This window comes from Homo sapiens, chromosome 13 (assembly GCF_000001405.40).
Source record: "Homo sapiens chromosome 13, GRCh38.p14 Primary Assembly".
Taxonomy (NCBI): Eukaryota; Metazoa; Chordata; class Mammalia; order Primates; family Hominidae; genus Homo; species Homo sapiens.
The window spans coordinates 29,117,370-29,144,442 of record NC_000013.11 but is presented as its reverse complement, the minus strand read 5'-3'; the positions used below and the strand labels follow the sequence as shown (position 1 = coordinate 29,144,442).

Below are 27,073 nucleotides of genomic sequence, written 5' to 3'. Positions count from 1 at the left end.
GCAGTGAGCCACGACTGCACCACTGCACACTAGCCTAAGAGACAGAGCAACACCCCCAACTCAAAAAAAAAAAAAAATTATTCCCCAGTCAGACCTCCAGATGAGCATGCAGCCAGCCAACACCTTGACTGCAGCTTTCTGAGACCCTGAACAGAGAAACCATCTAAGTCACGCTCAGACTCCTGACCCACAGAAACAGAAAATGTGGGTTGTTTTAAGCTACTGAGTTTCTGTAATTTGCTACACAGCAATGGAAAACTAATAGTTATTTATTTGGCAGTTTCACAGCCACATCTGTTTACTTTTATGTCCCTCTTTCTGGATTGTCAGCTAGTTTAAAGGGAGGGACTGCGTCTTCATTTACTTTTGTTCCCTACTCACCCTGCTGTTTAGCACAACTGTCTGACACACAGATGGTCAGTGTGTACTGAATAGAGTCCAGCAAATGAATGAATAAATGAATAAATAAATATGGCACTATGGCACTTCTGCATTCCAATAAATGTGTTAAGCACCATGACACATTGCTTTTCCCTCTAATATCTCTTGGTTAATCAACATGCTGAGAAAATGAAAACTATTTCCTTTTCTAAGAAAGTCACTTATCTTCATTAAAATGGAACTGCTGTCCTATTTTCTGGTCATACCATTTGATTAACTCCTTCTGGAATATTTCATAGAATTCTCTATGGTTTTTACCAGCCTACATAATTTTGTGTCATCAGTTACTTCAATGAGCTAGCTACTTTTCTCCAACTAAATATTTCATATACTAGGCACCAATTCCTGAGGCACCCCATCAACTCCATTCTATGAGGAAATCTGCACAAATATCCTTTCTCTGAACCAATTAAAATCTAAATGAGAACTTGATTTCTCATTCTGTCATTAGCAATAATAATCATATTCATACTTTTGGATGATCAAAGTACTTTACACCAATTATTTTGCTTGTAAGTAGACATGCTATATAACCCCCATTTTTTAGATAAGAAAATTGAGGCAGAAAAATGCTTTTGGAGCAAGGTTTTTATTTGTTCTGTGAACAATGTATTAAGCACTGAACATATATGGAGCACCAAATTTAGAAAAAATGAAAGGAAAACAGATCTGTCTTGTCTGCCTTATGAAATTGAAAGACTCCTACAGTTTTATCTGTGTTTTTTCCATTTTATTTTTTTCTACTAGTATTTCCACATAAGAAAGCTAGGCTTAAGCCTTCCCTACCTGACACCTAGTAAAATACAATAGGCTTCTGTGTGCTTTGGGCTCATCCCGACCCTGTTTATCCAGCACAGGACTTAGAGAATGCCTTGCTAAGCTCGATTTATTGCTGCTGAGCATCCTACAGTGAATTCCTGGCGCCCACTGTTCAATATACAAACATGTTGGCTTTGTTAAAGACCCTGGTAGATACTTCATTCACCTTCCTTCCCAATCCAATCTTCTCTGGTTTTTGTTTGTTATTTCATAACCAGAAATTCTCTACACAAAGTAACTAGCTTATTGCTCACTTAAGCAAAACTTCACTTTTGTACATGCTGCCTTGCTTTATGTACATGTTGCCCCTTCAAGTCAACATGCCCTCTTGGCTTATGTTTGACAACTCAACTGCCCTACCCTTTTTCAAAAACAAGAACAATATTCACCTGATGACTAACTCTATCCAGCTCTACCTGGGCCTTCAGGCTTTGGCTCCCATAAGCCTGAACTTCTTTTTTTGTTTTTGTTTTTGTTTTGAGACAGTCTCACTCTGTTGCCCAGGCTGGAGTACAGTGGCACGATCTTGGCTCACTGCGACCTCTGCATCCCAGGTTCAAGCGATTCTCCTGCCTCAGCCTCCTGAGTAGCTGGGATTACAGACACCGGCTACCACGCCCAGCTAATTTTTGTATTTTTTTAGTAGAGACGGGGGTTCACCATGTTGGCCAGGTTGGTCTCAAACTCCTGACCTCAGGTGATCCACCCGCCTCAGCCTTCCAAAGTTCTGGGATTATAGGCGTGAGCCACCACGCCCAGTCTCATGAACTTCTTTAATTTGCTTGCATTCCTATCAATGGTTCTGGACCAGGAGCATCAGCATTACCCAGGAATTTATTAGAAACACAAATTATTGGGCTTCAACTCCAAATATACTGAATCAGACATATTAAAGGTGGGCCCCTCAAATTGTTTTAACAAACCCATCATGTAATTCTAATGCACTTTAACATGTAACAACCCCCAATTTATCGGTGTATGTAAATATATAAGTTAAAATATATATACACATATAATTACCTAAATAATAATACTTAAAAAAATTAGATCCCCATAGCACTTTGGGAGGCCGAGGCGGGCGGATCATGAGGTCAGGAGATCGAGACCATCCTGGCTAACACAGTGAAACCCCGTATCTACTAAAAATACAAAAAAATTAGCTGGGTGTGGTGGTGGGTGCCTGTAGTCCCAGCTACTCGGGAGGCTGAGGCAGTAGAATGGTGTGAACCTGGGAGGTGGAGCTTGAAGTGAGCCGAGATCACACCACTGCACTCCAGCCTGGGCAACAGCGTGAGAGTCCATCTCAAAAAAAAAAAAAAAATTAGATCCCCATTTAGACTTCAAGCTGTTTTGGATAACAGGAAATGTGATAAAATTTAACTATTATTGTTTTTCTAAACCACCTTAGCACATAGAACAGTGTTTTGCACAAATTTTATGCTCATTACACATATTTGGCTAATGCCACATTTCTTTATCCCATCTTGACTCATTAACGTTTATTTAAGCACCTTTGACCAAAGGAGCACAAAGAAAATAAAGTAAACATAGCACATTATCCTTATTAAGTATGTATTTGCAGCTCTGATTAAGGTTAGGAAGACTAAATTAGTTCTGCACCCAAAGCTTGTCGTCATGGGGCTCCATGAGGTTAGACTTCTATGACCCATCTCCTGGGGCTCCTATGTGCTTCTGTAACCACAAGGCTGCAATCAAACTGAATTATCTGCACCTCTCCAACAGCATCTCTAGGCTGTAACTTCTGCCCGAAAACGTCCTCTACTCACTATCTGCCTGGATATTTCCAATGTATCTGTTAAGGCTTACCTTCAGGAAGCTTCTTGACCCCCAATATTGTAAGACACTCCTCTCTTGTGCTCCTGGGCAACCCTCTATTTACCCTGATCGTGGCACTTACCACACTGCATTCTGAAATAATTTCCACCTGTCTGTCTGCTCCACTGCACTGTAAGGTCCGGGTTCTCACTGCTGTATTCCAGTGCTTATCATACAATTGGTGCTCAACATTTGTGGACTGGGAAAAATATAAGTGGGTAAAGTTTGGTATTAATGTAATTAAGTTTTCTATCTTTCAATTTCCTCAAATAACCAAACATTAATATATTTTATGCTAATGACAAATTTAGTTCAGAATAAGAATGTAAATTTGTCTCTGATGGTGGAAGGGGTCAGGGGACCCCTAAGGCTATTTCTTTACCCCTCCTAATATCTAGTGCACATCGACACCGATTTTTGTCAGCAGGTACACCAGTAATCTAGAAATAGAATGCCAGGCATGGGATGAGCATGAGCATATACTTTGCTGTGTTTTCAAGTATCACCTGCAGACACACAGTCATTTGCATATGCCTACTTCCCATGAGGGAAGCCTTCTTGAATGTCCACCAGATGAGCTCCCTGAAAATACGGCTAATGACTAGTCACCAAACTCAACAGAGGAAGAGGTGATTTTCTAGTGATTGGTGTTTCCTAATCACCTACCAGAGAACTGGGGCAGGCAGAGGTGAAAAAAACAAACGAATGAACAAATACCTTTGGGTGATCATCTTCCAGGCCAGTAAGCCCTCATACCATCACTTAGAATGAGGAACAATTTGTTCAGAACACCACCAAACACTAGCAACTTGGTTTCCTACAACAGGAAGACATTCCAGAAATAACTGCGGCATTTAGCACTGATTTCTGTTCTCCTTCACTACGCTGGCATGCTGTCTGACAGGACGTGAGACTGCAGAGAAGCCAACCTCACAGCAAAGTCATGCTTGCATTGGCCACAACTGTTTGTAAGCAGTGCCAGAAAATACTGTGTTGCTTAGCCCTGAGATTCTTCAGGAGCAGGTCACCCCTGTGAGAAGATCACCTTCCCATCCTGTGGGTATCCACCTCTTCATGGCTTATTCCTAAAAGTCTGAAGACTCTAAATTTAAACGTTTTTCTTCATTTATTCCTAAATGAAGATATTCTCCTCATTTAAGAAACTGCTTATTTTGACAAAATCAGGAGAGATTTTATGCATTATATTCATAAATAAATCTCTCTATGTTGATGAAGAAAAGTTAAAAATTTTAAATGACATCTGTAGCAGCCCTCAGCGCAGTTTCTCATCCGTGAAAACTCAGAGAAAGAAGAAAATTCTCAACGCTGACAACCACGACTGAAGACAACCTCGTGTTTCGATTAAAGGTTTGCAAAAACGTTGCTGACTACAGGGCAGGTGATGATTAATAGAGGAAAACCAATCCTGGAAACACTGGCTGATGGAGAGAGCGCCAGAGGAAGGGGAGGATAGTTATTCCTCTTTGCCCATGTGCCTGCTGTCTCAGAGACCCAGAATCTTCACCAACCATAAGTCTAAGAGCACGAGAATGAGGAATCATGGCACAAAAGGATGAGTGGTAAGTGTTAAAACCAGTTAAAACAAATATGACTCTAAATAATCATTGTATATTTTTGCAAAACAGTGCCATTTCCTTATAATATAAGACAATGCAATAATTACCTAGATCTGAAATCACAAAGACCAAACCGTAGAGTGAAGATAACGAGATAGTAAAAGGGTACAAAATTCTTTGTCTCAAATTGGACTAAGTAAAGTGAACAAAGTCCATCAACAGACATTAAATTTAGTATTATATTAGATATTAGAATTTAGCATCATAATAAACATCTCAAATGGGGGGAAATGAATAGTTTTACATACTGTTTTAGAACCACTACCAAACTATTTATTATAAGTTAAAATGAAAGTCTTGCCTAACTGTGGCCCTAAGTTAATTTTAGATAGCTTAAAGATTTAAATATAAAGATGTGAAGCACTAGAGGAAAACAGAAATGCATAGTGTAAAGAAGAGCTTTCTGAGCATTATCCCAGTGCAAAATCCAAGAAAGAAAAAATACAAATATGTAATCATCAGCTTGAGTTAACCATTTTGTGCTTGTGCTTTCTCACTGTAAGATGGGGTATAATAAAAGAACCTCTCATTAGGGTTGTCTGTGTGTCAGCACATATGTGAATACAGCTTACATGCATAAGTGCCTGAGATAATACATGCAAAGTACCTAGCATAAGGCTGGGAACGTGGAAAACACTCAATGCATGTTAGTAAAGAAAAAAAAAAAAAAGACAGGAGGAAACTGAACTTAACATATTAACATAAACAGGTACTTACTCCATATCACTGGGGGCAAAGGGGAGAAACCAGCTTCCAAAGCAGATGGGAGATGTGCTTTGTCTTAAAAAATTAAAATGACTCAGAAATTTACTATAATAATACCTTATTAAATAACTGATAATTTTTCACTCAACTTATTCTAAAATATTATTCATATGGTGGTGGCTCATTTTCAGCAAAACTGCCTATGCAGTGGCATTTTAAAATGGCTTTATGTTGACTTTGGATGAGTTATTTTTTAAAAAAAAAGCTTTAAGAAAAAATTTATTTATCATAAATTTTACCCATATAAAAAACACAATTCAATGGTTTTTATTATGTTTACAGAGTTGTACAACCATCGCTATAGTTTAGAACATTTTTGTCATCTCCAAAAGAAACCCTGCACTCATTAGTCATCCCACTCTAGTCATCCATCTATTAATTTTTAATATAGTCTTTCCAGTAATGTACTTGAGTTATAAAGTTTATATTTATATAACTCAAATATAAATATTAAAAATATATAAATATAATTTATATACATATCTTTTATTTATATAAATAATGTATAATATTTATATTATATATTTGGTATTATAAAAGCATATGAGGATTCTGAGAAGATGGCAAAGTAGGAAGTACAGGAAATCTGCCTCCCCACCCAGACAACAATTACATTGGCAGAATCTGTCTGATGTAACTGTTTTGGAACTCTGGAGTCTATTGAAGGCTTACAACTTCCTGGGGAGGGTGAGGATAGCAAATTGTAGTTAATTTTGGTCAATTTCCCCTCTTAGCACCTCCAAGGAGCAGCTACCCATCCCCCAGTCCCCAGTCCCACAGCAGGCAGCTGTGTGCATTCCTAGAGCAATCTGAACACAACTTGCAGGAGCTGGAGTGAGTAAAAGGACTCTGTCTTCCAAATGTCAAGGATCTGTGCTCCACTCCTGTTACTTCTTCTTATCACAGAGGTACAGAAAAAGAGGCACCGATGTTCCACCTCCTCCCTATGTTGTTCCCCCTCCTGCTCATCCTGAAGTAACTTCCACAGGATTGAAAGGCCAATGCCTTTTTCTTTCAACCTCTTTCATTTTTTTCTCTTTTGGGAGGTAGACATCAAAGATTAGGACATTCAACTGCAACCATATATATGGGGTAGATTAGAAATTCGGAGCACATGTTCAAGAGAACATCTCTACTAAAGATACAAAAAAAAAAAAAAAATTAACCAGGCACGGTGGTGTGCACCTGTAATCCCAGCTACCTGGGAGGCTGAGACAGGAGAATCGCTTGAACCTGGGAGGCAGAGGTTGCAGTGAGCCAAGATCACGCCACTGTACTCCAGCCTGGGCGACAGGGTGAGACTTGTCTCAAAAAAAAGAAGAAAGAAGAAAGAAGGAAGAAGGAGGGGAAGGAGAAAGAAGAAAGAAGAAGAAAGAACAAAGAAGAAAGAAGAAAGAAGAAGAAGACTGAAGAAAAGTAAACAGAGCTCTAAGGGACTTGTGGGACACCATCAGGTCAACCAGCAATACACTGCGGTAGTCCCAGAGGAAGAGGGAAAAAGGTAGAGAGAATATATGAAGAAATAATGGCCAAAAATCCCCATTTGGTGAAAAACATGAATATAAACATCCAAGAAGCAGGGAGATAGGATGAGCACGGAAGCAGGATGAACTCAAAGAGGCCCACACCAAGAAACAGTATAATCAAACTGTTAAAAGACAGAGATAATTTTGAAAGCAGTAAGACATAAATGGTTACATACTAGGGATCCTCAATAAGATTATCAGCAGATTTCACATCAGAAACATTGGAGGCCAGAAGGCAGTGGGTTGATATAGTCAATGTGATAAAAGAAAAAAAACTGTCAACCAAGAGTTCTTATAAGGATGCAGCAGAAAAAAACAAAATGTTTTTCCTCTGCTTAACCACTCACAGTCTACACAACACAGAATATTTCATCTCTGACTACCAAATTGTGGGGAGATTTCTCTCTACCAGCAACCAATCAATTCTTCAGCAGACACTAAATGGGTATCCTTCAATTCCATTCTGATACTGTCTACCTGGAAATAGCATCACATCCCACAGGCTGAGGCTTACTTAGTCCCATAAGACTGGTTCCCATATCAGATGCCAGTTGCCAAGTACTAGGTTGTCACATATACTTCTGACTGAGGGTTCATGATATCCTCCTTGGGTTTTGATTAATTTGCTAGATTAATTAACAAATTAGAGTGGCTCACAAAACTCAGTACAAAAAATACATATGAATAGCCAGATGGAAGAGATGTATAGGGTGAGGTAAGGGAGAAGGGGTACAGAACTTCCATGTCCTCTTTGGGCCAGCCAACCTCTAGGCATCTCCATGTGTTCAGCTATCCAGAAACTCCCTGAGACCAGTCCTTTTGGACTTTTATGGAGATTTCATTATACAAACATGACTGATTTAATCATTAGTCACTGGTGATCAAACTCAACCTTTGGCCCTTCTCCCCTGCCCAGAGGCTGCAGGGTAGGACTGAAAGTCCCAACCTCCTGATGAAGCCTTGGTCATTCGGGTGACCAGACACCATCCTGAAGCTATCTAAGGGGCCACCAGCCACTTGTCATCTCATTAACATGCAAAAGACCCTCTTATCGCTCAGGAGATTCCAAGGATTTTAGGAGCTATATGCCAGTAAACAGGGACAATGACCACATATATATTTCACAATATCACAATTCTATATCTGGCGAAACTGTCCTTTAAAAGTGAGGAGAAATTAAGATATTCCCAAATAAAAGTTGAGGGAGTTTGTTCCTAATCAACAGACATGCCCTGCGAGAAATGCTAAAAGGAGGGCAGGTTGAAACGAAAGGACATTAGACAGTAACTTGAAGCCATATGAAGAAATAAAGATCTCAGTAAAGGTAGTAACATGGGCAATTATAAAAGCTAGTATTACTGTAACCATGATGCATAACTCAACTTTTTGTTTTCTATGGGACTTAAGAGTCTAATACAATTTTTTAAAAGCAATTATTAGTCTAAAAGCTAGTTTTATCATAACTTTGGTTGGTAACTCATTTTTTCCTACATATTTAAGAGACTAATACATTACAAAATTATTAGTTTATGTTTTTGGACACACAACAAATAAAGACGTAATTTTGTAACATCAACAACAGAAAGTGGTAGAAACAAAGCTGTTAAAGGAGCAGAGATTTTGTATGTTATTGAAGTTTAACTAGCATAAATTTAAATTAGAGTGTTATAACTTTAGGATGTTAAATGTAATCTCAATGGTAATCTCAAAATTACTATAGAAAATACACAAAAGGAAATGAGAAGGAAATTAAAATGTTTTACTAAAAAAAAAATCACCTAAACACAAAGAAGATAGTAATGCAAGAAGTGAAGGACAGAAATCCTATAAGGCATATAGAAAACAAATAACAAAATGGCAGAACTCAGTCCTTCCTTATCAGTAATTACTTTAAATTCAATGGATTAAACTCTCCAATCAAAAGAGACTGACAGAATGGATAAAAAACAAAAACATGATCCAACTATACGCTGCCTACAAGAGACTCACTTTAAATCCAAGGACACAAATAGGTTGAAAGTGAAAGGATAGAAAAATATGTTCTATGCAAACAGTAACCAAAAGAGAGCAGAACTGGCTATACTACCACAAAATAAACTTTAGATCAAAAAAAGTTATAAGAGACAAAGAAGGACATTATAGTAGTCCCCCCTTATTTGTGGGGAATACATTCCTATATTCCCAGTGAATGCCTGAAACCACTGTTTTTGCAACGTGATAACTGAGATGGCTACTAAGTGACTAATAAGTGGGTAGTGCACACAGTATAGATATGCTGGACAAAGGGATGGTTCTGACGTGGGTGGAACAAAGTGGGACAGTGTGAGATTTCACTGCGCTATTCAGAAGGGCATACAATAATTAAAACCTATGAATTGTTTATTTCTGAAAGTGTCCATTTAATATTTTCGGACCTTGGTTGAAGTAGGTAATTGAAACCTCGGAAAGCAAAATCATGGATAAAGGGGCCTACTGTATATATTATATTAATGAAAAGTAAGGGGGACTATTGTATATATTAATAAAAAGTGTTGGCCGGGTACGGTGGCTCACATCTGTAATCCCAGCACTTTGGAAGGTCAAGGCGGGCGCATCACCTGAGATCAGGAGCCTGGCCAAAATGGTGAAACCCCGTCTCTACTAAAAATACAAAAATTAGCCAGGTGTGTGGCGGATGCCTGTAATCCCAGCTACTCGGGAAGCTAAGGCGGGATAATTGCTTGAACTCGGGAGGCGGAAGTTGCAGTGAGCCAAGACCGTGCCATTGCACTCCAGCCTGGGTGACAACAGTGAAACTGTCTCAAAAAACAAAAAAATAAAGCGTGATACAGAAGGAAGATATATATAACAATTATAAACATTTAAACATCTAATAACAGACCATCAAATATATAAGCAAAAACTGATGGAACTGAAGAAAGAAATCATTCTATAGTAATAGTTGGAGACTTTGATACCCCATTCTTAATAACCTACAGGAAACCCAGACAGAAGATAAGTAAAGAATAGAGAGCTTGAACAACACAATAAACCAATTAGATTTATACAGAGTACTCTACCCAATAACAGAATTCACATTCTTTTCAAGTGCACATGGGAAATTTTCCAACCTAGACATATACTAGACCACAAATTAAGCTTCAATAGATTTTAAAAGACAGATTACAAATTTTCTTCTCTTACTACAACCAGACGACATTAGAAATCAGTAACAGAAGGAAAGTGAAAATTCAAAAATGTGTGGAAATTAAACAGCACACTCTTAAACAACCAACAAATCAAAAAAGAAATCACAAGGGAAATTAGAAAATAAATAGAGACAAAAAAAATAAAAATACAACATAACAAGACTTAGGGAATAAACAAAAGCAGTGCCAAAGGGCAAATTTGTAGCCATATGTGCTTACAATAAAAAACATGAAAGATCTTAAATCAACAACCTAATGTTACAATTTAAGGAACTTGAATGAGAAGAACAAATTAAACCCAAAACTAATACAGGAAGGAAACAGTAAAGGGTAGAGCAGAGTACAGGAAGGAAATAAAGAATAAGAAAATAATAGAGAAAATCAATAAAACCAAAAGCTGTTTCTTTGTAAAGATCAACAAATTGACTAACATTTAGCTGGAGGAGACACACTTCCTAATTTCAAGACTTACTCCAAATCCCCAGTAATCAAATCAGTGTGGTACTGCAAAAAGATAGACATACAGACTCATGAAGTAGAATAAATAATCCAAAAGTAAACCCTTACATTTATGGTCAAATGATTTTAACAAGGTGCCATGACTATTCAATGGGGGGAGGGAAATCATTTCAACAAATGATTCTTCGAAAACTGGATATTTCCATGTGAAACAACAAAGTTGGGCCTTTACCTAACATCATATACAAAAGTTAATTCAAAATGGATCAAACATCTAAATGTAAAACCTAAAACCATAAAGCTCTTAGAAGAAAACAGGACAAAAGCTTCACCACATTGGATTTGGCAATGATTTCTTAGATATGACACTGAAAGCACAGACAATAAAAGAAAATCTGAGGACTTCTGAAAATTTTAAAAATTTGTATATCAAAAACCATTACCAACAGATTAAAAGGCAACCCACAGAATGAGAGAAAATATTTGCAAATTGCATATCTGATAAGGGATTAATATCCAGAATACACAGAAAACTCCTGAAACTCAATAACAAAAAACAAACAATACCATTCAAAAACAGGCAAAGGACTGGAGGAGACGGATCTCCAAAGAAGAATACAAATGGCAATAATCATATGAAAACATGCTCAACCTCACTAATCATTATGAAAATTAAATCAAACCTATAATGAGATAGCACCTCGCAACCATTAGTATGGCTACTATTAAGAAAAAAAAAAACACAAAATAACAAGTGTTGTCAAGAATGTGGAGAACCTGGAACCCTTGTGCACTTGTGAAAATGTAAAATGGTACAGCTGTTACGGAAAACAGTATGGCAGCTCCCCAAAAAATTAAAAATAGAATTACCACATCATCTAGCAATTCTACTTCTGGATATATACTCAAAAGAACTGAAAGCAGGGTCCTAAAAAGATATTTGTATATTTGTACCCCCAGGTTCACAGTGGTATTAACTGCAGTAGCTAAAATGTGGAAGCAACCAAAATGTCCATTCACAAATGGATAAACAAAATATGGTCTATGCATACAAAGGAATATTATTCAGACTTAAAAAGAATGGAAATTCTAACAGATGTTACAACATTAATGAACCCTGAGGACATTATATAAGTGAAATAAGTCAGTCACAAAAACACAAATACTGTATGATTCCAATTATATGAGGTATCTAGAGTGGTCACATTCATTGAGACAGAAAGCAGAATTGTGGTTTCCAGGGGCTGGAGGGTTGGGGGAAATGCAGAGTTGTTGTTTAATGGGTACAGAGTTTCAGTTCTGTGGATGGGTGGTGGTGATGGTTGCACAACAATGTGAATGTACTTACTGCCACTGAACTGTACACTTCATCGTTAAGATGCCAAATTTTGTCGTGTGTATTCTACCACAATAACAAACATGGGAAAAAAAGCTATAGAAAGCTTAATTAGGTTTTTGAATGCAATGACAGTAATTTATAGAAGAATTTGAAGAGAACAGGAATCTGCATAATGTTGAGTCACCCAGGATCAGGCTGTATCTCTCCAGGTTAAGTTCTATTCCTTCAGTAAAGATTTTACTTTATCCCATAAAAAAAGAAAAGTATATGTATGTGTATATACACCATGCACATGCACTCACACAGACACAAGTATATGAAACGTACTCATTCCAGAGTTCTGGGGTCATGTCAATATTTGGGCTGAAACCTGGCTGTACTACTTCCCAGCAGTGTCATCTTGGGAGGTCATTTAACTGCTCTGCTTCTCATCAGTAAAATGGAGCAAATAATACCTACCTCACAGACTTGTGGTCAAGATTTTTAAAATGGGAAATCAGCACTAAATGCTAGTGCAGCACCACAACACGTAAGGATTCAATCAAAATCATGTCATCATCAACGTCTCTGGATGGTAGAATTAGGGATGACTTTCATTTGATACTGGGAACAAACTGGTGTTTTCCAAACTCTCCACAGTGAGCATGTGTTGCTTTTGTGATGAAATAAGACAACTAAACATTGTTTAAAGCCATCTAGAGGGATGGCTAAGCCAAGTGGAGGTGAGCAGGAAGCCAGGCTTCTTTAGCTAAAGAGTGCAGCCTCTCATCTTTCACAGCATTAATCCCTGTAGCTCCCAGCAGGCTTGGACCAGCCGTTGATGCTGACCTACAGATGTCTCAGGCTGTCCTGTTTCCTTGTGGAAAAAGACAATGCCTCTGCCCCACCATTGCCATGGCCATGTGAAGGCAGCTGTCTGCCCACGCCAAGTCCTCCTGAGCTGGGCCTCAATGGCCCCCACCTGCTGTCTGGGATCTGTTGGCAGCACTGGCTGCTGTCTCAGGGGTAACATCATTCCAGCCAGGAGGTAACCAGGGCATCTCTAAGTTAGCTGTCTCATATCCAGTATGTCATAGTGGTCAAGACAATCAGCTTTTGAGTCAGTAAGACTGGGATTCAAAACAAGGTTCTGTCAATCTCCAAAACCTCTAGGGCTCAGCTTCTCTTAACTACAAACTAAGGATGACAGCTACCTCTATGACTATAAAGAGATTAGCTCAAGGCCTGGCATGTCATAAGAAGGTAAGAGGACTTTAAAACATCATGATGCTTCTCTGTTCAAGGCATCCCCATGATAGACACAAGGAGTATCATTTTAGACCAGTGGAAAAATTGACCCATTGAATCTTCTGTCAATTCCATTCAACACCTATGTGAGGACCTCCTGAGTGCCATACACAGCTGAAGGCACTTGGGATACATCAGTGAATAAAAGGGATGAGGATCTCTCCCTTCCTGGAGCAGAGGGAGATGAATGATAATCAATATCAATACACATAAAAATAAATAGGCTGGTTGCAGTAGTTCACGCCTGTAATCCCAGTACTTTGGGGGGCTGAGGCAGGCGGATCACGCGGTCAAAAGATTGAGACCATCCTGGCCAACATGCTGAAACCCCGTCTCTACTAAAAATACAAAAATTAGCTGGGTATGGTGGTGCATGCCTGTAGTCCCAGCTACTTGGGAGGCTGAGGCAGGAGAATCACTTGAACGCAGGAGGTGGAGGTTGCAGTGAGCCAAGATCACACCATTGCACTCCGGCCTGGCAACAGAGCAAGGCTCCATCTCAAAAATAAATAAAATAAATAAATAAATAAATGTGTAGAAATTGAATACACATAATGAATAAGTGTGCTAGAGGTGAAAAGTGCAAGAAAAAAATAGAAGAGGGCTGAGTGTGCAGGGGCAGAAGGCAAAGGTTGTCATGTCATTAATGTGGGCAGTTGAGCAGGCCTCACTGGGAAGGTGAGATTGGGCAAAGGCTAGAAGGAAGAATTATCTGGGACAAGCATTTCAGGTCTCGAGCAAGGGTGAGCCCGGTGCCTGGGCAGAAGGAAGAGCGAGGAGGCTGGAGTGGCTTGAGCAGAGTGAGGAGGGGAAGCAAAGGAAGGGTCAGGGAAGAATGGGACCAGATAACATGGGGCTGTGGTGTCCAGTATAATAAGGACTTGGGCTTTATTCTGAGTCAAAGAAAGAGCTGGAGATTTTGGAGTGGAGAGAAATTTGATCTGAGTTAAACGTGTTAATTAATGACATACTCAAAATCTACACATATTCTTGCTCCCTTCAGTAAGGATATCCAAGGCATGACCAAATCCTCTCTCTTCTTGGACTCACTCCATTCTGTCCTCCATATGACCAAGACAAACCCTAACCTTGCTCTTTCAAAGCTCTTGGCTATAAAGCACTCTGAAAACACAAAGGGTGAAGGCTCCATGACAGCAATGATTGACAAACAGCAGTAAGGCCTCCCCAGTACCGAGAAAGGTCTTGGGGTTTCACCTAAGTGTAAAAATAAAACTAATCCTCAATGTTCTGACCTTAATGGACCAAGAACCCTCACCTCACCCTGCCCCCACCATTCTTTTTTGAAGAGAGACTATTTTCTGCTTCATGATGACAGCCCAAGCCCAACAGTGCACACCATACTGAAGTACCAAGGCTGCCCCTGAGAACCAGCATGCTGGGCACAGGCAGTTCCTCACCAGCCATGACTCATTTTGTTGTCCTTTCACTCACAATCACGTATCATCACCTAAAATAAAAAGTCATCTTTAGAACTGATTCCTCCTATCATTACACATTCTATGCATGTAACAAAACATCACACGTACCCCATAAATATGAACAAATATATCAATAAAAAAAACTACAAAGTAAAAATAAGTTTGAAAATGGAAAGAAAACAGTCATCTTTACTAAATAGGCTGAACCTCTTTGTTTAAACAACAATGATATGAAGAAGACAAGGTAGATTTGCTTGGGAAACATATTCTAAGTGGAAAGATCACCCTCCAGTCTTTTGCACAGGGAATCCAACCTTCGGGAAAGGTTGCCATCATGAGCCCAAATGTTCGTTTTATAAATGCAATTATGAAAAAAAGACCAGCATACAGAATCTGGACTCTGGCCCAATGACAGAAATACAGAATTACAGTTCTCTCAAATAACAGAGCTAAATGACAGCCAGTCCTTTCTGAATCTGGAATGTCATTCCGGATGGGGAAAAAAAAAAAAAAAAAAGACTGCCAGGGGAAAACAGTTCCATTCCAATACCTGAATATATGAGTAATCATAGTACTAAATATTTATAAACCAGAGAAAGTGCACAGAGTGTCCGCAATTCCACAGAAATGCACTTGCCACCACATTTAGAGAAATCTAAAGAAATGTTCTACAAGGCCCGACATTTAGGGCAATGGTTTGAACTAAACCTTTGTTTTATCATTTACAATTTCCTTTTAAACTAGGGTCATCCTTTGATGCACAATATAAAGGCATCAAAGATGAAGGTTTTCCTCATTATCTTATTTTTTATGTAATCACCGAATACATTTAGACTTTGTTCAGTTTTATATATATGAAACACCCAGGCATTGATCAAAACACCCAGACATGGATCAAAACTGAAAGTAGGCACAGAGTGAGGAATACAGTTGAAGGCAACCTGGCATTTTTTTTATGTTTGAATTAACAACATGAGTGACACATGGCTAGCATCAAAAATTTTAAATAATGATTAGAAGATAAAGAAAAAAACTAAAATTACCCCAAATGCCACCATTCATAAATATTCACTGTTGACTTTGGGAAATTATATTTTTCATCCTTGCTCATGTAAAGATTGCCAGTTCTTTATTTCCCTTTTCATTGAGGTGTATAATTCACCTTCCGTAAGATTTTCAAAATCATGTTATTGACATTTAATGTATATGCACTCACATTTTCTGGTATTTATAATGCGAAATAATCCTGAAGACCTCTTTTGCCCATCCTTTCCTCTCCTTCCTGTCGCCATCTGAGTCCCTCTGCATCATCTGTCTCTGGGCGATTCCTAACCGGTTTCCTCTCCTTGAGTTTCACCTTCTCTAACCCACTCCCTTTGCCGCCTATTATGTGGTCTTTAATTCATAAATCCAACTCACTCCTCATTGAACATTATTTTCTGGTCCCGCTGCATGTCTTCACGGCCTGAGAAAGGCCTGCCTGCCCAGCAGTGGCCCAGGAGGTCTAATCCCATCTCGCTGCTGCAATGTGTCATGCCTCTACAAATTCACATGGCTATTCTGTCTGTCTGTCCCACCTGCAAACTCAACTGATCCTTCAAATTTGTCTCTTCTTCTACTGCCTTCTTTGATGTCTCAAACTTAGACACCTTTCTAATACATTCAATTCCTCTGTACGCACCTCCATTACGCATCACATCAACATTTGCTTCAACACTGATCTCACCAGCCTGCAGCTCTGGAAAAGCAGGGATAGGTTCTTTTCAGGTTTGTACGTATAGCACTTTGCGAGGTATGTGCCATACCCCCAAAATTCAATAAACATCTGTTGAATACACTAATCTGTAAAACCACGCTGCTTAGCAGGAAAAATGGAAGTATTCAATATTAACTAAGCTATGGGACAAGCACATGGAGAAATGTGGCTCCTGCCAGTGAGCAGCTATCGGATCAGAGGAGAATCAGGGCAAGCGGGGCCCGGTGCAGCCATGTGCAAGCTGTGAGAGGCTGCAGTCAGCCCTGTCCAGAGACAGAATCAGCAGAATATGAAACACACACATGCACAGAGATTTCAAAAAATGAGATTACCCAATTATGGGGGCTGACAAAGCCAAAATCCACTGTGCAAGCCTACAGGGTGGAAACTTGGGGGCAGGAGCTGATGTTGCAGTCTTGAGGCACAATTTCTTTCTCTTCAGGGAAGCCTCAGTTTTGCTCTTTAAGGCCTTTGAAATGATTGGATGAGGCTCACCCAGGCTAAAGAAGATAACTTCTTTTTCTTAAAGTCAGCAAATTATAGATGTTAAGGACATCTACAACATACCTCCATGGTAACATCTAGATTCACATCCAAGTGAATAAGTGGGTACTCTGGCCTAAATGAGTGTCCAGTGAATAACTGGGTACTCAGGCCTAGCCATGTTGACACAGAAAACTGACCAACCCAGAGGGGAAATCCAGGGAGTGTGGAAGGACAGGACAGAGACCTCTCACTCACACTTGGGCAGGGGGAGGGGGCATGATATCAGGTAAGGATCTCTGGAGGAAGTGCTACTAAAGCTAAGGTTTTAAGGCTGAAGAACAAGTTAGGTGGTGTGGGAGCAGCTCAATGGCTGGGGCCAGGAGCAGGTGAGCAAGACGCATGTGGGTACACAAGAGACACCCAGGAGCCCAGACGGAGAGGGCACCCAAGACAGCACCTGGGGCAGAGGCTGGTGATCAGAGCACTGAACACTGACTGAGCACTGACCACATGCCCACCACTGTCCAGTGTGCTTTACATGCATTTTCTCTTTAATCCTCACAATCGCCCTGTGATATGGGTACCATTAACCACATGTGCTGATGAGAAAACTGGTGTACAAAGTGGCCAGTGAACTTTCCAAGGTCTCCCAGCTCCTGAGTAGAGACGCAGGACCCCAACATAGGCATTCTAAGGTCTTCAGGTTGTAGGATGAAGTAGAGCAGGGGTGTCCAATATGTAGCTTCCCTGGGCCACATTGAAAGAAGAATTGTCTTGGGCCACACATAAAATATACTAACAACAGCTGATGAGCTAAAATTTAAAAAAAAAAATCACAAAAAAATCTCATAAGGTTTTAAGAAAGTTTACGAATTTATGTTGGGTCACATTCAAACCCATCCTGGGCTGCATGGAGCCAGGAGGTTGCAGGTTGGACAAGCTCGAAGTAAAGGGCAGAGATGAAGAAATTACTTTAGCTTTGGATAGAAACAGGAAAGCAGAGCTAAAGACAGGTAGAGCGAGAGGGGTAAGTGGCAGTAAAATGGGAATTCTGTAGTGTGGTGGAGGTTTGGAGTAGCCACTGTGGAAAATGAGGCGAGAAATGAAAGAATGGGAAATACGGCTGTAGGTTAGCACAGAGAACAAAGATTTCAGAGGCTGACAAGGCACAGGATGTGACTACACGTATGAACTCTTCACATGGGATTGAAGGTTACTGCAGTCATAGAGGTAAGGAACTGAAAAGACCTCCTCCCCGTGGGTTCTCAGTAAAGGGCAGGAGTTAAGGGAAAGAGGAAGTGCAGGTATGAGGACAGCCCACCAACCTCATTTTTGGTATATGGAGAAGTTAAATGCGTGTCAAAGTAGTTCACATACATAGCTATATTCCTCTCCTCACTGTCTACTCCAGATAGTCTGTTAAAGACAGTGAACACAGCAGTCTGAGTAGAATATACAGTTCTTGCTTCAGAAGAAAAGAGAATCCCCAATTATGGCTATCCTTTGGCCAATCCAGTGGAATCATTTCAATTTTGTACATTTGCCACTGACTTTATTTCTGTGGATCACAGAATTCAGTAAGGGGATGCCTCAAACAGAAAGCTGTCTCATTTAAGTCTGTTCTGTGGCTCTGTGCAGGAAGTGAACTGAGTAATCTAACTATTGTCTTTGTTTGCTAAGTTTAACCAAAAAGAAGTCCTCTGGGTTTAAAAAATCATCATGAAATAAAGAGTTTGCCTTTTAACAACTTCATTTTACTGAGTGATTTTTATAACTTCCCAGGTAAAGCTATTAGTTTTCAGAGTGTAAATCCTGCGGCAGGTTGCCTCTGGGCTCTTGAAAAACCTAAGGTGCTTTGGCTAAGAAAACAAAACACAGGAGTGGCTGCATGAAACCGTTCATGTAGAAACAGCACAGCATATTCTTGACAAAGTGTTCATATTATTCAATAAAGTAGCTAGAAATGAAAACATTTAGATTCAACGTTTCTTCTTTCATTTTAGGAGATACGAAATTAATGTTAGATTTGCTTCTGTTGACAGCAGTCATGTTGCTTGGCAACCTTAAGTGTTTCTTGGGTTGAATTGCAAACGACTCAAGCAGCTACTCATTTTAAACCAAGGAAGCTGCTCAAGAAGTTCAATGTGATGCCTATCACATACCCCATCACTCACACTGATGCAAGAGATTTATTTGTAAGATGCTACCACTATTGGATGTAAACACCTACACCCCATTGGCCCTACAAGCTGTCCTATAGTTATCAAAGTGACATTTTAGCCCACTTGATTTAGTTTTCTATTTCTTTATTAACAACTAAATAATTGGCTGACATTGGACATTTAAAATTTATTTTCTAACTGTGGTAAAATTCACATAATATAATTTTACTATTTTTAAGTGTAAAGTTCAGTGGTATTAAGTACATTTACATTGTTGTGCAACAATTACAACCATCCATCTCCAGAATTTTTGCATCTTCCCAAAGTGACACTCTATACCTGTTAAACAGTAACTTCCCATTCCTCCTTCTCTTTAGCCCCTGACAACCCCATTTTACTTTCCGTCTCTATGAATCTGAGTACTCCAGGTACCTCCTATTAGTGGAATCATGCAGTATTTATTTGTCCTTTGTGTCTGGCTTATTTCACTCAGCACAATGTACTCAAGGTTCACCCATGTTGTAGCATGTGTCAGAATTTCTTTTCCTTTTAAGGCTGAATTGTCTTCTGCTATATGGATAAATGACATTTTGTTTATCCATTCATCCATCAATGGTTACTTGGTCTGTTACCACCTCTTGACTGTTGTGAATAATACAACTAGGAACATGGATACATAAATATCTCTTCACAAGCCTGCTTTCACATTTTTGGGGTATATATCCAGTAGTGGAATTGCTGGGTGACACAGTAATTCTACTTTTAATTTTTTGAGGAATTGTCATCTTGTTTTCTATAGTGGGTACACCATTCTAGTCCAATCGGCAATGCATGAGGGTTCCAATGTCTTCACATCCTCACCAACACTTGTTATTTTCTGGGCTTTTTAAAAAAAATAGTAGCCAACTTAATGGCAACCAGATTTTATGTGTTTTATTTTTTCATATCTCTACTTCTTTAAGTATTATACTATATTGTAATAATTTACATTCAATTAAATTACACTATATTGTAATGATTTACATTAAATTAGAATATCAGTATCCTCCTCCACTAATCTATGACCTGTAATGGAAAGAACCAAGTCTTCTTCATCTTAAATACCCTCTAATTCAAACAGGCAACAACATGCCTAGTCCTAAAATAGAAGTTTCCTGAATATCTGTTCCATTCCTCATTACCAATGGAATAATGAGGCTTCGGGTAAGAAGTTCAGGGTAGACTGAGAAAAATCCTGAATGCCAAGCTAATGTGTTTACCTTATTAACAAGGGAGAGAATTATTTGTCATTTCTGTAAAAGGATGACATAGTCAAATATTTGGCAATGGTGTGTTGACCTAAGCAACTAGAGTCACAGAGTCCACTTACCTGGCTGGACAATACCCCCTGGAATGAGGGCAGTGGGCATCTGCAGGGGGATGGCAGCCTAGGGAATGAGGCGGGAGGCCCGGGGACACTACCACCATGTTCTGAGAACACTTGGGTTTTACCCTTTAAGGAGACTCCCAGTTTATCCAGGGCTCTCAATACATCATTCAGAAAAATATGTTTTTCAAGTGTGTGTGTGTATGCGTGTGTGTGTGTGTGTTTGTTTTGAGACGACTCTCACTCTGTTGCCCAGACTGGAGAACAATGGCATGATCTTGGCTCCTCCACTCCCAGGTGTAAGCGATTCTCCTGCCTCAGCCTCCTGAGTAGCAGGGATTACAGAAATGCACCACCATGCCCAGCTAATTTTTGTATTTTTAGTAGAGACAAGGTTTCACCATGTTGGCCAGGGTGGTCTCAAACTCCTGACCTCAAGTGGTCCGCTATTCTCGGCCTCCCAAAATGCTAGGATTACAGGAGTGAGCCACTGCACCCACCCAAAGGTTTGTGTTTTAAATATTAAAATAGAAATATCAATGTGGTAAGTCAACAAATGAAGATGAAATGTAAATGAAAATTACATTCTCAGAGAAGAAAAAATTTAAATGAAAATTATAAACACAATGAATCACAGAGTATTTAAACTACCTATGAAAAATGAAAAAAATAAAATCAGTAGCTACTATAAACAGAAAACAATAATTTAAAAAAAGAACAGTGAAAGGAAGCAAAAGGGATACTATTTAGAGAAACTAAAACAAGTGCTGATTGTAAATGAATAAAAATTTCAAGTATTGAGAGAATATTAATGCAAAACAGGAAGCTTTTTTAAAATCTGAAGCATAGAAACGTCAGGGATAAAGAAAAGGAAACATGCTAGAAATTTAAATTTTGCTCTTTACCATAGTTTTTAAATTATTTCCAATTATTAAACACTTTCTAGCACCTGGTATAGACCAGGCATGGAACTAGGCACTGGGGACAATATAGATAGTGGCTGATCATTAGAAATTGTCCACAAAAGCTACATTTTAAAAATTCCCTCCTGGAATGATCTATTTTTCTGACAGAGTTTAAAAGGATTGAAGGAGAGAGCCAGTGATACGGACAGGGATGTGAATTTATTTAAATAAAGTAGCACCATTTAGTCTTTTTTTCTGTTTCTGATCAAGAAGGTAGAAATTTCAATTCCTATAAGAATCTCTAAAAGGTAATCAAACAGTCATAGGTGGTGATAGAACCCACAGGGTGAGGGCTGATTTAGACAGATAGTGACTTGGTCCCAGTGGAATGCTCTCCCCATCTGACATGATTTGGCTGTATCCCCACTCAAATCTCATCTTGAATTGTAGTTCCCACAATTCCCACATGTCATGGGAGGGCCCCAGTGAGAGGTAACTGAATCATGGGGATGGTTATCCTCATGCTGTTCTCATGATAGTGAGTGAGTTCTCACGAGATCTGATGGTTTTGTAAGGGGCTTTTCCCCCTTTGCTTGGCACTTCTTGCTGCCTCCATGTGAAAGAGGCGGTGCTTGCTTCCCCTTCCGCTATAATTGTAAGTTTCCTGAGGCCTCTCCAGCCACGTGGAACTGTGAGTCAATTAAACCTCTTTCCTTTATAAATGACCCAGTCTTGGGTATTTCTTCATAGCAGCATGAGAACAGACTAATACAGCATCATTTCCACCAACCCAAAGCCTCCTGTCTTTTAAGGCCCAAGTGAAACTTAGCCCCTTCTCCCTCCTCAAAGCTTCAACTGCTTACCTAGGATATCAGACCCCTACTCAGGGGACTCAATCCAGGGGCTGTTTTTGCATCAGTAAAGAGTACAACTTTCTGCTCAAGATTTAGTTATACAACAAGTATACCTACTTGTACTACACTTGATAACCTTTAGCCTACAAGGAACCTCAATTACATGTTTTTATTCTGACAATACAGCGAGAAGTGAGGTTTTTAGAAGTGAAAAAGTGGGCCGGGTGTGGTGGCTCACACCTGTACTCCCAGCACGTTGGGAGGCCGAGGAGGGCGGATCACCTCAGGTTGGGAGGTCAAGACCAACCTGACCAACATGGAGAAACCCTGTCTCTACTAAAAAAAAATACAAAATTAGCTGGGTGTGCTGGTACATGCCTGTAACCCCACCTACTCGGAAGGCTGAGGCAGGAGAATTGCTTGAAGCCGGGAGGCGGAGGTTGCGGTGAGCCGCGATCATGCCATTGCGCTCCAGCCAGGGTAACAAGAGCAAAGCTCTGTATCAAAAAAAAAAAAAAAAGTGAAAAAGTGAAAGTGTGAGTGACTAGCAGAGCAGGGATTTGAACTTAGGCCTTCTCTCTGGAAGTTCTGTGCTCTTTCCTGGCATTCACCAGAAAAGGCTTTGCATGGAACTCAATTTCATTATTATATATCTTTTTAAAATTCCCCATATCTATCTACATGACACTGCCTGTGCTCACTCACTCTATCTCTTGCATGTGTGTGTGTGTGTGTGTGTGTATTTCATTACATAAAATTAATTTGATATAGGGAAATAAGGAGTCTTTTTTCTTAAGCAATATAAAGTAAGCTCTTTAACGCCCAGATCTTCATCATCCATGTTTGTTTCTGCCTTGTTACTCAAGTGTCCAGCACAGAATAAAAGCAATAAAGCAATGGGCTCTTAATTAATATTTCTGTAGTTATTCTTAGTATGAGAGCAATCAAAGACATTTTCAGGGATCCATGCCTAATGACATCTGTTGAGCTCATCCTAAGATAGTTTCCTTAGGGATAAGTGAGATTTATTTCTTATAGCTGTCCCATAAAATGTCTATATTGTTACCTCTAAAAAAGTAATAAGGACTTACGGGGAATTTTATGACCACTGAAATAACACTCCCTTGAGAAATTCAGGAAGATGGCAAAATTTCAAATGCTCTTACACTTTGTTAGGGGAGTGCTGTGGCATTTTGTTCCATGTACTGTCAATTTTAAAACATGACATGACTTATAAAAGTGGCTTTTATCAAAATCTTTTCTGAACATAAGCAGGTTCTGCTTTTTCTTGCTATATCAATGATTTTATACAACCTTCTTTCATCTTTTAATTTTTGTCAGAATGTTGTAGAGATTGTTTCAGCCTGACTTTGATCTCCACTGCAAGAATGAACTGAATTCAATAATAGAGGGAATTGCAATGCACATCGGACCCCAAGGGGATCAGCCCATCCTTTAGTGGAGGGCTCCTGCCTCACTTCACACTGAAATTTAAACTCCTTCTCTGGTCCCTGGTAACTACAGGTGAATTAGTCCCTTTCTTTTTATTCTTCTCTTATTTTTAAGTGGCGATATATTTCCAAAAAATTCTTTTTTCTTTTCTTACTTCATGCTCCATGTTTAGAAAATATAAGCAAATAAACATGTTTTAAAGTCTCCAGTAATCCCAACTATTTACATGAAAATAGAAAGTAATCTAGGAATTTATCTTTTATTATATATTTTAATATACAAGTATAAAAATAGTCTCATGCATAATACTGTTCTGATTTTTTCCATTTAAATAATCATGGATATTTGTGAAAATATATTTTACTATTACAACAAGAATGAAGGAGCATTATTTTAAATATATCTGTTTGATTATTTTCTCAAGGTAATTTCTTATGTGGAATTACTTGAAAGAAAGGTATTCATGATATGAATACCTTTAAGGTTTCTTTTTTAAATATTAGTAAAGTATCTCCTTAAATATAATATCAATTTGTGATTTTGACCTCAGTGTATGAGACTGCCCAGTTTGCCACATACTCACCAATACTCTATGTATTACTATCCTTTTCAATCTTCGTCAGTCTAATATTTTGGTTAATTTGTTTCATGATATCAATTGTAATGGCAAAAAATTTATCATAAGTTTGTTGGATATTGGCTTTGCTTTTCTTATGAATGTGCATTTATTTATGTCCTATGCCCATTTTGCAATTGAACATGACCTATTTTTATGTATTCTTTTTACTGATTTGTAAAGGTTCTTTACATATTCTTGTGATTGTTAATTTTGTGTCAAACTCACTGATCCACAGAATGCCCAGCTAGCTGATTAAACTTGATTTCTAGGTGTGTCTGTGAGGGTGTTTCTGGAAGATATTAGCATTTAAATTGGTGGACTAAATAAGCAGATGGCCTCTCCCAATGTGGATGGGCACCATCCAATCCTTTAAGGGCCTGAATGGGATAAAAAGGCTACAGGAGGTTGAATTTGCTCTCTTCCCTGACTACTTGAACTAGAACAGGGATCTTCTCCTGCCCTCAGTACTCCTGGTGCTCAGGTCTTCAGAATCAGACCGGAATCTTTCCCTGCAAATTTTAGTTGACTTTTTACCTTAATTACATAATCAGATAATTTATATATATCAAACTTATAATGCTTAACGGACTAAAGTTTTTAAGTTACTAAATTTCACAAAAGAGGTATTTTCAAAATATCACATAAAAGAATATATGAAAACTTTTTGTCATATATGCTTTCAAACTTAAAATTCCTAATAATAGATCTCTAACTGCTTTCTACTATTTACTAAGCCATTTATCATTTTTTTTTGTTATGCAGTGTCCACAAGGTCCAGCAACAAAACAAACTATATGAAAGCAATATAACCTTACCACTATTTAGATTGTTAAAATTAGTTTTGGGGAATTTATTCCTCAGTTAATCAGGTCCAATGTGTATCTATGTACTGAGATTCAGGATTTTATCCTGTTAGCACTACCATAAGAGTTTAGATTTCCTTAAATGAGAAAAATGCAATATGTGTATGTTTTAGATATATAGCTCTGCAATTATGAATTTCTATCAATAATATTATACATAGAAAACGTATCTTGTATGTCCTCCAATTGTGATCAGAGAAAAACGTACAAGAAATATTAGGAGCCTTTTCCTTAGAGTTTCTGAATAAAAACATGAGAAGAAGCAAACTTGTGTTCGAGGGGTGCTAAAACATCCTGCAAATCTTCAGCTCTGGAGTCACAGGACCAGACAACTGGGATCCATGAAGGCATCTCAGGACTCACCGTCCACTCCCTCACTTCCCAGGGAGGACACTGGTCACCCACAGGGATTATGTGATTTGTCCAAGGTGACAGCACAAGTCAGTGTCAAGATGCCCACTCTCCTATAGTCCTAGTCACTGTCCTGCCCAGCTTGCTGCCTCTCTTGAGACTTTGAGAAGGAGCACAAGGCCATGCCAATTTCCATGCTCAGCACAAACACTCACACCACCCCCACTGCTCTCCAGGGATCACTCACACAGAACCTCAGCCAGTACCTACACACTGCTAACAGACTCCCACAAATGTGAGGCAGCTGAACTCAGCTTCCCACGAGCACTCAGCAGAGGGAAGACCATAGGAAACTGTGAGAGTCTAGTTGGCTGCCAATTTATTAATATGTTGTAGGACTTCAACAATAGAATCTCATCCTCAGACTCAAGCTACACATGGATGCCTCCCTCCAATAAGCCATGGTGCTACATTCAGTGCCTCTTACCCTGCTGTGCATCACGGGATGAGGACATCAGAGCCAGGTTCCAGCCCAGTGTCCATCACTAACCTCACCCTGGAAGAGTAATAAGAATCATCTCACCTCTCCTGGCATCCATCTCCTCCCCTGTGGAATGTTATGTGGTCACCTGGATAATATCTAGGGTGCCAGTATCACTATTCTAGGCTTCCGTGATGGTAAACAAGGGCTTGGGAAGAAGGAAGCTAGTGATGACTATGAAGACAGCCCAAGAGATACACAGGACTCTCTCAAGGCAACGTACATTTCCTGGGTGAGAAACCAGGCTCCAGGCAGAGAACACATCTTTTCCTTAATTGTAATAAAAACCAGGGAGACGTGGTCTATTTTTCATGCACCTTCAAAGCCACTGGTGCACACAAAACTAATAGCACCTGCTTCAAACAGCAGCAGCTCTTTGACCTCCAGCCTAATTAGCGCATTTCTCCAGTGAAACCATCTGGACAGGGTCCGCCCTGGCTCATTTCCTTCATTAACAAATCTTCCAAGTGGCAACAGAAGTCTCCTGTGTTGGCGCCAACCTTACAGGCACACCTCACGGCTGACAGGGCCCGAAGTGTGGTGGCATTTTTCATTTTCTAATCAAAGGGGTCAGCGTAAATGGGTGTTGGCAGTTGACGGCTGCAGCTGTCTGATGTGTCAACTCCTTGCCACACAGAGTTTCTAATAAATGGTGCTGGAAAAATAATTCACCCCTCAGCTTTCTGTCACAGCGGCTATGGTGGGAGATCCTTGGGTGGCCGCTTTCCTGTCCCACTTATTTGTGCAAGAGGTGGGGAGTGTGTACATGTAGACACAGTTACATCCATGCATAAACACTCATGCACAGGAATGGGATGGAGGAGCCCTGCATTACTGTGGTCGTGTTTTTAGTACTCAACCCTGAAAACCAAGGAGAGTGGGTGGGGAGGGACACCAGCATCTGCTAATACTTAACGCGAGCATGGAAGCCACTAAAAGATGTGGAGGAGGGCAGCTCTTGAAGCTGCTGGTGGCCCTCTGT

The 27,073-nt window shown here is 39.4% G+C and overlaps 1 protein-coding gene and 1 long non-coding RNA gene across 14 annotated transcripts in view; one reads left to right on the top strand and one right to left on the bottom strand.

Annotated features, from left to right (window-relative positions):
• MTUS2 (microtubule associated scaffold protein 2) overlaps positions 1 to 27,073 on the bottom strand; it is a 685,985-nt gene that overhangs the window by 361,505 nt on the left and 297,407 nt on the right. The gene's annotated exons all lie outside the window — the stretch shown is intronic.
• Positions 4,105 to 26,758, top strand: LOC124903144 (uncharacterized). The gene is made up of 2 exons (XR_007063739.1): positions 4,105 to 4,676; positions 23,607 to 26,758. It is a non-coding gene; the product is annotated as an uncharacterized LOC124903144 (long non-coding RNA).